At 45.9% G+C, this 17,822-nt stretch overlaps 1 long non-coding RNA gene and 1 pseudogene across 1 annotated transcript, besides 3 other annotated features; one reads left to right on the plus strand and one right to left on the minus strand.

Moving 5' to 3' along the window:
• Positions 1,937–2,026: an enhancer, noted in NCBI's record as "active region_3597". NCBI's record gives its function as "activates an Ori minimal core promoter by ATAC-STARR-seq in GM12878 lymphoblastoid cells {active_cell/tissue: GM12878}" and the evidence as "EXISTENCE:reporter gene assay evidence [ECO:0000049][PMID:35858748]".
• On the minus strand, positions 5,817–7,418 carry FAM32CP (family with sequence similarity 32 member C, pseudogene; annotated as a pseudogene).
• LOC124902459 (uncharacterized) lies at positions 12,789–16,432 on the plus strand. Its single transcript, XR_007062201.1, has 2 exons — positions 12,789–14,055; positions 15,720–16,432. It is a non-coding gene; the product is annotated as an uncharacterized LOC124902459 (long non-coding RNA).
• Positions 13,273–13,492: an enhancer, noted in NCBI's record as "active region_3598". NCBI's record gives its function as "activates an Ori minimal core promoter by ATAC-STARR-seq in GM12878 lymphoblastoid cells {active_cell/tissue: GM12878}" and the evidence as "EXISTENCE:reporter gene assay evidence [ECO:0000049][PMID:35858748]".
• Positions 16,019–17,539: an enhancer, noted in NCBI's record as "VISTA enhancer hs1500". NCBI's record gives its function as "enhancer in: neural tube[6/7] | limb[7/7]" and the evidence as "EXISTENCE:transgenic organism evidence [ECO:0001131][PMID:17130149]".

A 17,822-nucleotide genomic window follows, 5' to 3' on the forward strand; every position in this document is an offset into this window, starting at 1 on the left:
CTCACACCTGTAATCACAGCACTGTGGGAGGCCGAGACAGGTGAATTGCTTGAGCCCAGGAGTTCAAGACCAGCCCAGGCAACATGGTGAAACACTGTCTCTACAAAAAATACAAAAATTAGCCAGATGTGGTGGCATGCGCCTGTAGTCCCAGCTACTCAGGAGGCTGAAGTGGGAGGATCACCTGAGCCCAGGAGGTTGAGGCTGCAGTGAGCTGTGATTGCACCAGTACCCTCCAGACTGGGCAACAGATCAAGACTCTGTCTCAAAAAAAAAAAAAAAAAAATACACACACACACACACACACACACACACACACACACACACACACACAGTGATTTTTTTGATGCCATGCTTTTTTTTTTTTTTTTTTTTTTGAGACGGAGTTTCGCTCTTGTTGCCCAGGCTAGAGATCTCAGCTAACTGCAACCTCTGCCTTCCGGGTTCAAGCAATTGTCCTGCCTCAGCCTCCCTAGTAGCTGGGATTACACGCACCTGCCACCATGCCCAGCTAATTTTTTGTATGTTTAGTAGAGACGGGGTTCACCATGTTGGCCAAGCTGGTCTCGATCTCCTGACCTCGGGCAATCGATCCGCCTCAGCCTCCCAAAGTTCTGGGATTACAGGTGTGAGCCACCATGCCCAGCTGATGCCATGCTTTCTTAAAATATCATGTGTAAAAGCTTTTAAATAGTCTATTTACAGTTGCTAAGTAATATTTAAGTTCTCTAAAGTCAACTTGAATGTACAAATTACTTTCAAGTCTTGGACAGTTTTTGCCTGTGAGGACTTCCCCATAATCACTAAGAACCTCAGCCCTACTCTGCCCTTGACCTCAGAGTTTCCTTGCCCTCTTGTCGGATTGCTGCCTTGAGAAAGTTCAGACAGAAGCAAGCTTTCTAATCAAGTGCCACCTAATGGTGTGTCAAAATTTGGCTGCCTCAAGTCTTAAATGCACAAATGAATTTTACTGAGTTTGAGGCCAGAATCAAGGACTTATGGTTAGAGGCTGAATGCATGATGGCTGTGTGAATTTGGGGCCTGATGGTGTCTGGCAGTTCATTTTTTCCAAAAGGATGGAGCTGTCTTCTATTTCCTCTTAAATGGAAAAAATTGGCCAGGCAAGTTGGCTCATGCCAGTAATCCCAACACTTTGGCTGGAGGATTGCTTGAGCCCAGGAATTCAAGACTAGCCTGGGCAACATAGGGAGACCCCATCTCTACAAAAAATACAAAAATTAGCCAGGCGTGGTGGCATGTGCCTGTATTAGTCCTAGCTCCTTGGGAGGCTGAGGTGGGAGGGTCTCTTGAGCTTGGAAGGAAGAGGTTGCAGTGAGCCGTGATAAGGAAGAGGTTGCAGTGAGCCGTGATTGCACCACTGCACTCCAGATGGGTGACAGAGGGAAATCCTGTCTCAAAAATAAAATAAAAACATAAAGGGAAAAAAATTATCCTAAAATATTCTATATGGAAAACAAAGAGATAAAAGCTCTGACAGGCATAATGGTCCCACAAAGATCCATGTCCCAATCCCTGCAACCTGTAAGTACATTATGTAACATGCAAAAGGGCCATTGCAGATGTAATTAAGGTGACAGTTCTTAAAATACAGAGATTATTCTGGGTGATCCAGTGAGCCCAGTCTAATCATGTGAGCCTTTAAAAGCAGAGAACTTTCTCCTGCAGGAGGCAGGAGAGATAAGGCAGAAGTCAGAGAGATTCAACGCTTGAGAAGGAGTTAGTGAGCCTTTGCTGGCTTTGAAGGTGAAGGGGCAACGTGACCAGGCGCACAGGAAACCTCAAGAGGCTCAAGGCCAACAGAAAGGAAACGGGACCTCAGCCCTAGCACCACAAGGAGCTGAATTTGACCAACAGCCTGAATAAGCTTGTTAGCAGTTTCCTTCCCAGAGCCTCCAGGAAGTAACAAAGCCCTGCTGCCACCTTGATTTCAGCATTTAGAGACCCTAAGGACAGTACCTTGCCAAGCCCACCCACCAGACTTCTGACTACAGAACTGTGAGAGGCCAGGCGCGGTGGCTCACGTCTGTAACCCCCACATTTTGGGAGGACAAAGCGGGGGAGTAACTTGAGGTCAGGAGTTTGAAACCAGCCTGGGCAACCTGTCTCTATTTATAAAAATCGTTTGTGCGTGTAGAACTGTGAGATAATAAATGGGTGCTGTTTTAAGCTACTAAGTTTGTGGCAATCTGTTACACAGCAATAGAAAACTAATATATGAGCTGCTTGCAAGTAGAGACCCCATGTACTTAAAAGGTTCTCAGATAAGTAAGAGGAATGATTCTTAAATTTTAAAGTTGGGGCTGGGCACGGTGGCTCACATCTGTAATTCCAGCACTTTGGAAGGCTGAGGGAGACAGATCACTTGAGCCCAGAGGTTCAAGACCAGCCTGGCCAACATGGCTAAACCCCGTCTCTGCAAAAAATACAAAAATTAGCCAGGCGTGGTGGTGTACACCTGTAACCTCAGCTACTCTGGGGGCTGAGGCAGGAGGATTGGTTGAACCCCAGAGGCAGAGGTCGCAGTGAGCCAAGATTGCACCACTGCACTCCAGCCTGGGCGACAGAGTGAGAACTGGTCTTGAAAAAAAAAAAATTGGAAGACACATTTAGGGATATAAATAAAAACATGATGGGAGGTATTATATTAGATCACAGAATCAGGACTTTGGGGCTCACATGTTGGCCCTGATGTTGCACTCTGCCGTGGACATGGAACTGGCCTGACAGATTCAGCTATAGTTATAGAAATTCAGAAAGACACAAAGGCTGAAGACAAGTGGGAGATATGGAGCTCTTATTTGTGTCGGCTATCTGCAGGTTCTGTGAGACGGGAACAGTAATGGTGCTGTGTTTTGCCCTCAGCTTGCTGTCACTGGAGTTTTCTACCTACCTTGTACAAAGCCAATCCGTTATCCCCTGCCTCGCAGCATCAGTCCAGTCCTGCACTCGCCAGGAGTATCAAACAGCTGGAAGATGAGGGCACACTTTTCCTCCCTGGGAAAAAAGTCAGTCCTTTCAAGAAGTGAACATACAAGGCCGCTGGTCCCCTTTGAGGGGACAGGACCAAAACAAGAAAGTCATGTCTTGTCATCTGGTGTCTTGTTGTGTAAACCTCCATTCTATCCCATTTCCATAAATTCTTTCAAAGGTTTGAGATGTAGGACAACTGGGGCCTTTTCTCAGTTCGAGTCTTCTAGTTTGAACATTATAATTTAATGTGATTGTTAAGGAGTAAGAATGAAACAATTCCAATGCTACATAAAATAGAGAAATAACGGAAAGTTTCCAGTTTACTTCACAAGCTAACATAACCCTTCCACCAAAACCAGATACATGCACACGTGCGCAAACACACACACACACACACACACACACACCTCAAGCCAGACAGCTTAGTCTCACTTAGGCTATTTATATGGAATTTATAAACACACATCCTAAATGGAATACTAGCAAATTTAATTCATTAGTACAATATACTAAAATAATATTTCATACCCAAGCAGAACCTGTTCCAGAAATGCAAGGATGATCAATATTTTAGAAATGATCAATAGTATATATAGACCGTGTCTGTTTTGTACACTAGTATGGTCCTTGTGTCTGGCACAGTGCCTGGCACACAGTAGCATATAAGTATTTGTTGAGTGACTGAATATTACTATTAATAAGCAGTTCGAAAATAAAATAAGAAGAAAAAGATCTGATGCAAGTACAAATTATAGCAAATATACACGTGTTTGTGTGTTATGTATGTATACACACATCATACATATTCCATACATATACATCTATGTATACATGTATATATGTGTATATGTGTATATATGTATGCATATATACATAAATACATATACATGTGTATATGCATACATATGTGTATATACACATGTGTGCATGCATACGTGTATGTATGTGTATATATGCATATGCACATACATGTGTGCATATGTGTGTATATACATATGTACATGCACATATACATGCATGCACACGCATGTATATGTGTGTATATGCACACACACATATTTCACCCAAGAATAAACTTTTAAAAATGTATATAAGATCTGAATGAAGAATAGAGCAAAAGTTTGCCAAGGTACATAACAGAAGATAAATAAATGCGCAACATGTCACATACCTGTGTGAGAAAAGGCAATAATAAAAGATGTCAGTTCTTTTCAAACTAATTAATAAATGAAATGCAGTGTCCATTAAAATCTCAAAGAGATTTTGGGAGAGACGAGTCAGTAAATTGTTGCAGAAGAAAAGAAATATGAGGGGATTTTGCATAATTATTAAAATCTGTCATAAAACCACAGTAATTAAAACAGATTTGGCATAGAATAGACAGATCAGTAAAATAAAATTTAAAACCTGGAAACAGACTCACATATACACCAGTATTTTGCATATGATAAAGTTAGCATTTAAAATCAGAGAAGGGAAATATTATGCAAGCAAATCATGCTGGAATATTGGTTTCTGTTGGGGAAAATTAAGCTGGAGTCCCCACTGCATGCCAATCATCAAGGTAAAGTTCCAAATAGATCAGTTATTTTTTTAAATACTATAAACAGAATAATGAGAAAATATAGAAAGTGTTTCTATAATCTTGAGTGGTAAAGATTTTTCAAAGCATAATACCTAAAGAAAAATATAAGAGATGCATAGATTTGCCTACATAAAAATTTAAAACTTAAATTTGATTTTTTAAAAAATAACAAGGCAAACCACAAACAGGGACAAGATGTTGGCAGCGTAAAAGATTGACAAAATATTAATAGCCTTAATTTTATTTTATTTTTTATTTTTTTGAGTCGGAGTTTTGTTCCTGTCGCCCAGGCTGGAGTGCAGTGGCACCATCTCGGCTCACTGCAACTTCTGCCTCCAAGGTTCAAGCGATTCTCCTGCCTCGGCCTCCCGAGTAGCCGGGATTACAGGCATGCACCACCACGCCTGGCTAATTTTTGTATTTTTAGTAGAGACTGGGTTTCCCCATGTTGGCCAGGCTGGTTTTGAACTCCTGACCTCCGGTGATCCACCTATCTTGGCCTCCCAAAATTGTGGGATTATAGGTGTGAGCCACCACGCCTGGCCTAATATCCTTAATTTAGAAAACACCCTTGCAAAGCAGAAGGAAAAAGGCATACATTCCATTTGGAAAATGGAAAAAAGGCAATTCACAAAAGAAGAATATGAATAAAAAAGAAATGTTTCTTTTTTTTTTTTTTTTTTCTGAGACAGGGTCTCACTCTGTTGCCCAGACTAGAGTACAGTGGCTCCATCTTGGCTCGCTGCAACCTCTGCCTCCCAGGCTCAAGCAATTCTCCTGCCTCAGCCGCCCAAGTAGATTACACCGTGTGCCACCACACCCGGCTAATTTTTGTATTTTTGGTAGAGACGGGGTTTCACCATGTTTGCCAGGCTGGTCTTGAACTCCTGACCTAAATGTTCCACCCACCTCAGCCTCCCAAAGTTCTGGGATTATAGGCATGAGCCACCACACCCTGCTGAAAGGTTTACTTTCAATAATAAACACAGAAATGCAGATAAAGTAGAAAAAAAATAAATACCTTTTAATATCTCCTGGGTTACCAACAATTTACTTTTTTGTGTGTCTTTTTTTTTTTTTTTCCTTTTTGTGGAGAATTGGGGTCTCACCATGTTGCCCAGGTAGGTCTCAAATTCCTGGACTCAAACTAGCCTCCTGCCTCTGCCTCCCTAAGTGCTGGGATTACAGGCGAGAGCCACTGTGCCTGGTCAGATTATCAACAATTTAAATAATGATAACATAAGCACTGTAAACAAAGACTTCATATATGTAGAAGACAGTCAAGGCTTTAAAAATATGACCTGGAAATACTGTGTGTAGAATTGTTTCTTTTTTCTTTTTTTCAATAACTGGTTTTTGCTTTATTCTGTAGTTCACATAGGACAATCCCAAATTCCACACTTGGTTTCTCTCTTCCGTCTTTGTTATTCTTTCAATGTCTATGTCAACAGAGACTGTTTCTCCCAATAGCATATGCAGCCTCATCCAGGACACACAGGCCCTCAAAGATCCTAGCCCTCTAGCACTGCCACCTGGGCCTCCCAGGTGACCGCACCCATGCCTGTGCTGGGGCTCTGCCCTGGTCCTGTCACCCTGAGGTGTCCTTAGGGCGGGAATGCCAAACAGGCTCCATGTGATGTACCAACTCTGAGTAAATACAAGAGGCTGCCTGGGGCTGAGGGTTGAGAGACAGTCTGTGTCCGGCTTCCATTACAAAGAATGCTGTGATCCATGAGCAATGCCTGCCATGACAATACCCGTTAGAGGTACCTGGAAGGGTGTGGGGTTTGGAGGGAATGGGCTCAGAAAGGGACAAGGTGTGTAGCCCATCCTTGCCTTAGGTAGTTGTTCTGCTACCCAGGCTGTGCCGTCCCACCGGCCAGGTGGCTGAGGAGGAAGTCAAGCCCGCAAAGTTGCAAGTGGCTTCCCCGGGGCCTGCAGGGAACAGCATAAGCTCCAAGCTGGATGGAGTTTCGAAGGGTGCACACGCTAGGCCTCGTGGGGGTCTGCACACTGCAGGCCACGCTGGCATTAGCTCCAATCCTCTGGGGTCCGTCTCATCCAAGCAAAGACAGCTGGTTGGCCTCAGAGCGTTATTATAGATGCCACTAGCAGGTAAAATATTTTTACATGGCCCGGACGCAGAAACGGGCTGTACCTCTGGATAAACTTTTAGAAACTTTCCATCCAAACCAAAAGGATATATCTTCTAGGTGTTACCAAGAAACCTAAACTGAGTAAAAGGACAGGCTTACTTTAATGAAGTTCCAGAATGGGGTGCATGGCTTTGAAAAGCACTTTGTAGCAGAAGATGTAGGGGTGTGTGTAAAGCAAAGTTTCTAGAATACACCAGAGGAAACAGACGCAACCCGACTTGGCCTTTGCTTCCCCTGGATGCTGCTCTGTCCCGGCAGTGGGTGGTTACTGGGTCCAGCTGACTTTGGGGGTGTCGCGATGCTCCGTGTGTGCGTCCAGGTGTCTGCTGAAGTCCTCCTCTCTCTGCCTGTGGGTCTGGGATGCTTTCTTCAGGATCCTTTCCATGTGTCGCTTCTCCTGCACTTTCTCCTGGGCTAGGGTCAGCTTGAACAGGCCGCACCACTTCTCCTCATTCTTTTTGCTTGTTCCCATCTCTTCCTGAGTTGTGCCTTGTCTTTGTGCTTCTTTTTCTTCTTCTGCTTGGTCACTCCAAGCTCTGTGATGCCTTTCGGCTTCAGGGGTCCCTTCTGGACCTGCTTGTAGGCCCCCAGGTCACTAGCCTGCAGTTCGGTAGGTAGCAGAATTTTTTCTGGAGAAAAGATCAAGCAACATATGTGGAGATTTACGTCCAAGGATGTGCATCATAGAATTCCTGAAAATATATATAGAGAGAGAGAGAGGCAGAATCTCAATATGTTGCCCAGGCTGGAGTGCAGGCCCAAGCTCCTGGGCTCAAGCAATTCTCTTGCTTCAGCCTCCTAAGTAGATGAGAGTATAGGTGTGTACTACCATCCCCGGCCAATTTTTTAATTTTTTTTGTAGAGATAAGGCCTTGCTATGTTAGCCAGGCTGATCTCAAACTCCTGGCCTCATGCGATCACCCTGCTTTGGCCTCCCAAAGCTCTGGAATTACAGGCATGAGCCACAGCACCTGGCCCTTAAAATATATTTTTTAATTTTTATGTTTTTTATTACATGTATCTGCTGATTTTTTTTTTACTTAAAATATTTTTAATGGAAATATTTAAATGTTCTCCAACATTGCGAAACCCCGTCTCTCCTAAAAATACTAAAATTAGCCGGGCATGGTGGCATATGCCTGTAATCCTAGCTACTTGGGAGGCTGAGGCATGAGAATCCCTTTAACCCTGAAGGTGGAGGTTGCTGTGAGTCCAGATTGCACCACTGAGCTCCAGCCTAGGTGACAGAGCAAGACTCTGTCTCAAAAAATACATATATATATATATAAATATTCAGCAATAGAAGACTACTTTGGTAGGTTATAGTCTATATGTAATCCCAGCACTTTTGGAGGCCGAGGTTGGGAGGATGGCTTGAGCCCAGGAGTTCAAGACCAGCCTGGGCAATATAGTGAGATCCCATCTCTACAAAAAACGGAAAATTAGAAAATTAGCCAGGAATGATGGCATGCACTTGTAGTCCCAGCTACTCAGGAGGCCGAGGTGGGAGGACCACTGGACCCCAGGAGGTCGAGGCTGCAGTGAGCCATGATTGTGCCACTGCACTCCAGCCTGGGAAACATGCCAAGACCCTGTCTCTAAAGAAAAAAAAAGTGTGTTCTGACTTGGTAAATATTAGAATACTTAAGCTATTAGGCTATGAAGTCAGAGCTGGATTTAAACCCATCTCTTTCTAGCTGTGTATTGTGAGACAATTTGCTTAACCTCTCTAAGCCTCAGTTTCCATACCTATCTATTTTATTTATTTTTTTCAGAGGCAAGGTTTGCTACATTGCCCTTGGCGGTTCTCCACCTCAGCCTTCTGAGTAGCTGGGACCACAAGCTCCTACCACCTTGCCCAGCTACCTTTTAAAGTTGTGGGATTAAATAAATCAGTTTCTATGATGTGCTTATAACACAGTGCCTGGCGTTCAATAAACATTCACTGCATATATATATCATGATTGAATACTAAATCTTGAAGTCAGTGATGCTGGCATGCAAAAGACATTTAATAAACATCTTTGAAAAAATAAAATACGATGAATATGATAGGAGATTAGGCTGAGAAAATTGTGTTTAGGTCAAAAAGAAAATTTGACCGCAAAGTAAAGAGACTTTGATTTTCTATGACTAATTAATGAACTCAGGAGGGAATGCCAAAGGATATCTTTTAAAAATGTTTTGAACAGTAGCAGCATACTGAAATAAACATATGTAGCCTCACAAGGTGAATTATTTGGAAGACAAAACGCATTTAGATGTAACCGTTCTATTAGTATGTATGTTGTTTTCTTTTTTTTTTTTTTAGACGGAGTCTCACTCTGTCACCCAGGCTGGAGTGCAATGGCGCGATCTCGGCTCACTGCAACCTGTGCCTCACAGGTTCAAGCAGTTCTCCTGCCTCAGCTTCCCGAGTAGCTGGGATTACAGGCACCCGCCACCAGGCCCAGCTATTTATTTTTATTTTTTTATTTTTAGTAAAGACGGGGTTTCGCCACGTTGGCCAGGCTGGTCTTGAACTCCTGACCTCAGGTGATCCACCCACCTCAGCCTCCCAAAGTGCTGGGATTACAGGCATGAGCCACCATGCCCAGCCAAAATGTATGTTGTTTTCTATGTGGTAACTTTATAGCCATTCTCTACATGGCCCACTTCAAAACAGCCCTGGGAGCAGCCTTTTCTTTATTCAGCAAAGGCTCTCTGAGCCCCTAGGATGGGCTAAGCACTGCCACGGGCCCGAGGTCTTTGCCTTCATGGAGCTGGGCTGTGGACTGTGCTGGGTTGTGATGGGGGACAGTGACGCAGTCTCGCCTCCTGTGGACGACTTGGGAGGTTCCTAGTGGTCTGGAAACACCCAGGACAGCCCTGAGCTCAGCTCCCGGAAAAGGAGGCGTCTTCGGGCTCTGTACCGCATACCCAATTGTGAAGCCTGGGCAGCTACACTGAGGTTCTGGGCGTCAACTCTCCATCTACGAAATGAGAGCATTACACAGATGACTTCAGGGTTTCGTTTGTTTGTTTCTTAATCCTATGACCAGAAAGAAATTCACTGTGACCAAACACACACACACACACGAATACACGCACATGGACACAACTGGAAAACATGCTTACGAATGCCAAGGCCACTCCCACTCTGAAACATGTGGGGGATTGTGGTTGTTTTGTGTTTCTTTTTTTTTTTTTTTTTTTTTGAGACAAGTTCTTGCCCTGTCACCCACGCTGGAGTACAGTGGCTCAATCAATCACGGCTCACTGCAGCCTTGATCTCTTAGGATCAAGAATTCTCCCATCCCAGCCTCCCAAATAGCTGGGACCACAGGTACAGGACACTATGCTGTCAGCTAACTTTTGATTTCTTTGAAGTAGAGACGAGGTCTTGCCATGTTGCCCAGGCTGGTCTCAAACTCCTGGGCTCAAGTGATGCTCCTGCCGCAGCCTCCCAAAGTGCTGGGCTTACAGGGGTGAGCCACTGCGCCTGGCCTGAAACACCTGTTTTTCTAGTGGAAAAGGTCTGGCAAGGAAGCAAAGTCCCTGGTTGTTGGTGGCTGCCAGCCTTATGGGATCTCAGGCAAATTGTGTCATCTCTTTAGACCCTTTGCTGTAATGTAAGGTGTCTGGCCTAATGATGTCTGAAGTCCCTCCATTGCTAAAATTCTGTTTTATAATCATTCCATTCCATTCAATGGTCCTATATTGAGCACTTGTGCCAGGCACTTTCTAGGCCCAGGGGCTGCAAAGGGGAATGACTTGTAGACCCCACCATTGAAGGACCCACCACCTTACTGGGTGAGCCAGCACGGGAAGCACAGAGATGGAGATGGGTATGTGTGGGCTTGTTCCAGAGCTGGACGTGCCTAAAGACCCTTTACTGAGGCCATGATCTCCACCTGGCTCTCATTTGGGCCTACGCCATTTCTGTAGACTTTAAATGGGCAATGAATATACTAGGTGTCACCAAACACATATTTCCACCACATTTCCACCCCACCCCAGAGGATTTTGTTTCAAGGGGAAGCGTCTAGTCATCCTATGTGGCCAGACTCTGCGTAGGGCAAGCTCTGGCAATAGGGCCAAACAATGCACGTGACAAAGGACAAATACAGGATACAAAATATAGCTATTTGCTGTGTTAATTATCTTACTCAAGTCTAAATGTTTTTCAGCCCTCGCTCTCCACCCCTGTGAGTTATCAGTTAAATTTTTAAAAATTGATGACATGCAAAACATAATTATATTCCTAGTATTCCAATTCCTCATTTTAGACCCATGGCCATATCCACTTGGTCACTTTCCATCACAAGATACCGTTTGAATTGTCAGCTCAAAAGCTCCCACTGCCCAACAAGGCCAAATGCCAACATGAAAAAAACCCCACAAGCCAATGGAGTTTATTTCTAATGCCAGACACAGCTTTGAAATACAGGTTTAGACAGCATGAGAACTGGCCGGTGAATAATTGCTTCAACAGCATCAGCCCTTTAAGGGCCCAAAGAGTAAACATGATCTTCCATGTGAGTAAAATGCAATGGCTGTGCAGAGAGGAGACATACGAAAGGTTTACCTTGGGCAGCACAGTCAAGAGCGGACTGTTTCCTTGCTCGAGTGTGAAAGCCCATCTATAAACAGCTTTCACAGCTCTGTGGTGCCAGACAATTGCACCATTGAAAGACGGGACTGGTAAGTGCTCCCCACTTCCAGGGATTATTCTGTGTGTCTCAGTAGAAGTAGGGTGCTTTGTCCTACTTCCCCTTTGTGTGAGTAAATGTCTTTTTATTCTAGGAGCCTCCGTTCCTGCTCTCGGTCTCTTGCTGTTATTGTTTAACCTTCTCGGCACAAGGGAAGCCAGAGGCAGAGGGAGTCAGCCACAAAACCTGCCCGTCTCAGTGCCTGGTGAGGAGGCATTACCTCTCTAGAAGTTGTCCACTCACCACAGACCCATTCCTCAGAATGAACTCAGGATGTTTGGGATGTAGTTTTCCTGGGAAGCAGTAAAGCCATCCAGGAAGGCATAGCGAACCACACGATCCAAAAATGTTTATTGAGACGCACCACACACCAGCACGTTCTAAGCCCTGGGGAAAGAGCTTTGCTTATAGCCAAGTCCCTGCTCCCCTGGAGCTCGCTGTCCAAGAGCCATGATGATAACATGCAGATAAATACCTGGAATGTCAGGTGGCATGGAGGGCAAGGAGGAAGGAGTGATCAGGGCAGGGAGAGACGCTATTCTAGACGGACCCCTCAGGACAGTTCCTCCGATGAGGCCATATTTGAATGAAGAAAGAGATTGAGTCACGCAAATGTCTGAGGCAGGAGGGCTTCAGGCAGGAGAAACAGCAATGCAAAGGCCCTGGTTTGGGGTGTGCCTGGCATCTTGAAGGACCCCCAGGTGGCATTTTAAGGAGCTGGCGACAGCAATTCCTCCCAAAGAGCCTCTTCCAGGAGACACTGAGTGAGATGGCAAATGAGAGGCTTTTCTAGTAAAACTGCTAGTGAAGGCCGCACATGGTGGTGGCTCATGCCTGTAATCCCAGCACTTTGGGAGGCCAACTGGGAGGCTCGCTTGAGCCCAGGAGTTCGAGATTGCAGTGAGCTGTGATCATACCACTGCACTCCAGCCTGGACAGTAGAATGAAACCCTGTCTCAAAAACAAACAAACAAACAAACAAACAAACAAACAAAACAAAACAAACCTGCTAGGGATGATCATTCCATGTGAACAACTTGTTGATCCTGCCCATAATTAGAGCTCAAGTCTTCTAAGCCCTCCCCCCAGTCTGCTCACATGTGTTTTCTTAGAGGCCAAAGCTGCTGAAATCCAAGCAGCCCCACAGGCAAAGCCACAACAGGATGAAAGAAAGAAATGGGCTGGGAGCGGTGGCTCACACCTGTAATCCCAGCACTTTGGGAGGCTGAGCCTGGCGAATCACCTGCAGTCAGGAGTTCGAGACCAGCCTGACCAACATGGAGAAACCCCATCTCTACTAAAAATACAAAATTAGCCGGGTGTGGTGGTGCATGCCTGTAATCCCAGCTACTTGGGAGGCTGAGGCAGGAGAATCGCTTGAACCTGGGAGGCAGAGGTTGTGGTGAGCCAAGGTCACGCCATTGTACTCCAGCCTGGGCAACAAGAGTGAAACTCCGTTTAAAAAAAAGAAAGAAAGAAAGAAAGAAATGTCTGAGCCAGGCGCAGCGGTGCGCACCTGTAGTCCCAGCTACTCGGGAAGCTGAGGAGGGAGGATCACTTCAGCCTGGAGTTCAAGGCCATCCTGGGCAATGTAAAAATTTTTTTTTATAAAAGGGTCCGGTCTTAAAAATATTTGTGAAGAAAACTAGGTCTTTGATTGCTTTCTGTCAATCACCTACTATTATAAACAATTCATGTATATTAGCTTTTATGTAGATGTGATTATCCTCATTTTACACAGGAGTCACCTGAGCCTCAAAGAGAGGAAGCAAATGGCTCTAGACCACACAGTGCTAAGAATCCGTGAATCACCCCAGCTACTTGGGGAACTGAGGCAGGAGGATTGCTTGAGCCCAGGAGGTTGAGTCTGCAGCGAGCCGAGATCATGCCACTGCACTCCAGCCTGGGTGACAAAGTGAGAGAGAACCTGTCTCAAGAAAAAAAAAAAAAAAGCAGTGAATTGGGATTTGAACCCAGGCTGCCTGCTTCTGGAGCCTGTATTCTTTCTACGGCAGAGCGTCGCCCCTGTGCGTCACGATGATATGCATCCAGTACCATGGAACCATTGCTAACCCAGCTTACAGAGTCCTGTCTGGGAGCAGACTACCAGCCTTGGTTTGTGGCTGCATGGGGACTCCCCATAGCTGGCAATTTGTTTATACAGAGTGGCTGTCACTTAATTCGGTAAAGCCTACATTTCCATGTCTCTCAAGTTTGGCAGAACCACAAACCTAGGGGGTGGCTCGCTGCCCCACCCTCAGCCCTCTCCACATCTGAAATGCCATAGTGGGTGCTCAGACGGTGAGACCGAGGGGGGCCCCCCAGCTTTCGGAGATACCCCCATGTGCTTTCACAGTCAACCAATGCTTTCTCTCCAGAGGCTTCACTTCTGCACTAATGCTGCAGGTGTAGCTCTCACACCTGAAACGACACACAGAGGTTATCACTTTCCTTTCCCCAAAGAGACTTCTAGCACATGGAATCATGGAAAGTGAGGGTCAAAATGGACATGAAGTTCTTTGAGCCCAATCGTCTTCCAGTGATTCCCTCACTACTCCATCTTTCTGCCAAGCAGCCATCCTGTTCGAGCCTGAACACTCCAGTTTCCCGGGAACACACCGGCTCCCGCCAGGTATTCTTTCTGCTATTTCATCTGGGCACCTCCGAGCAGCTTCTCTACCCTGTGCCAAAGTCTGTCTTCCCTTCGTCTCTACTCTGTGCAATTAACGGATACTCTTCCTGGGAGCTACATAGCACACCTTGAATACCGTCTATGTGGAAGCCAAACAATTGCTTTATAATTCTATTGATATAGCCTGCAGTCACAGCTTTTTTTTTTTTTTTTTTTTTGAGATGGAGTCTTACTCTGTTGCCCAGGCTGGAGTACAGTGGTGCCATCTTGGCTCACTGCAACCTCTGCCTCCCGGGTTCAGGTGATTCTCCTGCCTCAGCCTCTTGAGTAGCTGGGACTACAGTCACGCGCCACCATGCCTGGCTAATTTTTGTATTTTTAGTAGAGACAGGGTTTCACCATGTTGGCCGGGCTGGCCTCGAACTCCTGACCTCATGTGTCCTCCCACCTCGGCCTCCCAAAGTGCCAGTCACAGCTTTTTTTTGATATTCATATAACACTGTTGATTCATATTGAGATTTTCATCAACCAAAAGTTAAGTGTTTGTTTCCTTTTCTTTTTTCTTTTTTTTTTTTGGCATCACATTAGTATTAAGCCGTACCCCTGTGTCCACACTAGTACAGTGTGGTGATTTCATGGACCATTACAAGATTTTGCATTATTCCTATTAAACTTTCACTAGATGCTCATCAATTGACCGGATCTTCCTGGGTCTTGTTGCTGTGATCCATCTGCTTTATCCCTCCCACCTTCACTTCACCTGTGAGTAGTCAGGGAAGCATGTGTTTTGCTTTATTTTTGTTTTGAGACAGAGTCTCGCTCTGTCACCCAGGCTGAAGTGCAATGGTGCAATCTCAGCCCACTGCAACCTCCGTCTCCAGGCTCAAGCAATTCTCCTGCCACAGCCTCCCAAGTAGCTGGGATTACAGGCACCTGCCACAATGCCCGGCTAATTTTTGTAGTTTTAGTAGAGATGGGGTTTCACTATGTTGGCCAGGCTGATCTCGAACTTCTGACCTCAGGTGATCTGCCTGCCTCAGCCTCCCAGCATGCTGGGGTTACAGGCGTGAGCCACCGTGCCTGGCCAGGGAAGCATGTGTTGATAGGGTCTCAACATCAAATACCTGTAGAAGCCAAGGAAGTAACGTAAGTGGAACCCCAGGGCTGGGTGGACAAGCCCAAGGGCTTCTTCAGCACCCTCTGGACACAGTCCTCCAACCCCTTACTAAACCACCTCCCCAGGTTGACATCCAGCCTCCCACTGCCCATCCTGCCCAGATACACTGGAGAGTGCTTTCTAGAGGAAGTGCTGCATCTCAGAAAGGGCTATAGTGGAGGGGAACAGAGCTCAGGCTCTGGAGTCAGACAATGCTGGGTTGTTGCCTTCCCTTTTCCATTCCCTGGCTGTGTGACATTGCACAAGTGCACTTACTTCTCTGTGCTTTGGTTTTTCTCATCTGTAAAATGGGGAAAATAATAATGTCTACTTCATAGGGTTGACGTAAGTATTTTACACAATCATTCATGTGGTGTATTTAGCTCAGGGCCTAGCACATAGAGATTACTTAATACAATTCACCTATACTGATTATTTTTGTGGTTACTATTATCATTGCTACAATGATTATTAGGAATCACACTGTTATCTCTGACATCTCCTACAGATGGTGGCAGCAGGACAATGGAAACAACCCGGTGAGTACAAAAGAGATGCTCTTGAACACACACCCAACCCTCTTCCTTCATTCACACCCCCCGGCCTGATATCGGCAGCACATCGCTATGCTCCTCTTGGAGAAAACTCCTCTCGCGTTGAGAGTGGAAACACCAGCTTGCCTTCGTGTGACATGGAGCGGGTCATGCCACTCCTCTCCTCAAAAACTTTCAGTGAGGTCCCTTGTATCTTACAGAACAAAGTCCAAACTCTATCCTGTCATTGAAGAGTCCTCTCCCAGGTGGCCGTGCCACATCTCCAGCTTGTCTCTCAGGAGACCTTCTCCAGGGCCCTGCCTGTCCACACATAGGACTCACCACTCCCTGGGCGAGCCTGGGCCCTTCCCCACCCATCCTGTGCTTTGATTCCCCAGGGGCGGTGCCCTTGCCGGACTCTTCATGGACTAAATCCCACTCGTCCTGCAAAACCTGGCAAAATTCAAGGCCACTGGAGGAGCTCTTCCTTTGAGACTCTCCAGCAGGACTTGCCGCCTCTGCGCGGGGTGTGTAGCAAGCCCTGCTTGCCATTGCCACTCCGTTGCTGCAGAACGAGTGGGATTTGGTCTCTTTCGTGACTTCCCCAACACACACACCCCACCCCCACCACATAGCACAAGGCTGAGAACACTGGGAACGCTCAATAAAGAAATATTTTTGGCCTGAATGAATGGCCTGAAGGACTGCTCCTTTCAACAATTATGGCCCAATAAATTATACCGACATTGCCTCCTGGAGGGAAAGGCCACACCAAGGCCCCCACAGATGGGGAAACTGCTCTGTCTGCCAAAACCCAGATGCAGGGCAGCCTTGGCCCTGCTTGGCTGTCTACCTGAATCTGGGTTTAACAACTTGGCCTGCAGTTTTACAGCCTGAATCACCAGGCTCAGCACAACAGCATGAGTTCTTTGTCCGCATGCTGCTGCCAGGTGTTGAAGGAACGGGCTGCAGTGACTTACCCGGCTCAAGGAGACCTGCAGGCGGGGCAGACGGGTGCCTGCACCCCAGGCTGGGAGGCCAGGGGACTTGTCTGCAAAAGAAACCCTTGTCTGGACCCTAAACAGAAAAAAAGAGGTGATGAAAGTTTACATGAGGACCCGGCTCTGGGTGCTGCAGGGGGATGCGTGCTAGCTTGGAGGTTGGGGGTAGGGGCTGTGGAACATGGAGTGACCTTCAGGTCACTGAACAAAGCTTAGAGGGCCCAGACTCAGTCAGATTTTATTTCTATAGCTGTAATAGTTGTGTGGTCCTAGGAAGCATGCAGGAAGCCATCAAATTTAAGCTTTTAGAGCTGGGGTTACATATCTTAAGAGCCGAAGAAATGCAGTATCCAAACAAGTGATATAAGGCATGAAGACTCGTGCAAGGAGAGGTTAGAAGGGTCTCTGGCTGTATGAGCGTTCCTTTCTTGGGTTATGAAGTCATTGATTCAGCATCTATAAATAGAGCTCACGGCAATGGCGTGCTGGTTACGGTTTAACCACCAGTTCTTCCAAGAAAAAGCCCTGACTTGAGGCATTTGCAGATTTCTGTGGTGTAAATACACCCACCATGGCCAATTTCAAACTACCCAGAAGGTAGGCCCAGAATGTAGAGCTGGGAAGAGATTGCACAGCCAGCTCCCGTACACACTGATTCCCAGCAGCCTGTCAGCGTCACCAGCAAGAATCCTACCAGTAGCCCACTTCTTCAGTAGTTTTGCAACCTCAAGCAGTGCAAGTCAATGAGGCAACCTCAAAAATAATATGAGACGATAACCCCCAAAATTGTGTGAGATAAGATAATAATTCCCTTACTGGGTAAGCATTTTTCAAACTGGCTATTATTTATTTTATTTTTTATTTTTATGTTTTATAGAGTAGAGGTCTCACTACATTGTCCAAGCTAGTCTCAGACTCCAGGGCTTAAATAATCCTCCTGCCTCAGCCTCCCACAGTGTTGGGATTACAGGCATAAGCCACCATGCCCTATTTATTTATTTATTTTAATTTGTTCAGACAGGGTCTTGCTCTGTGTCCCAGGCTGGAGTGCAGTGATGCAGTCATAGCTCACTGCAG

Source organism: Homo sapiens, chromosome 10 (genome assembly GCF_000001405.40).
Source record: "Homo sapiens chromosome 10, GRCh38.p14 Primary Assembly".
NCBI lineage: Eukaryota > Metazoa > Chordata > Mammalia > Primates > Hominidae > Homo > Homo sapiens.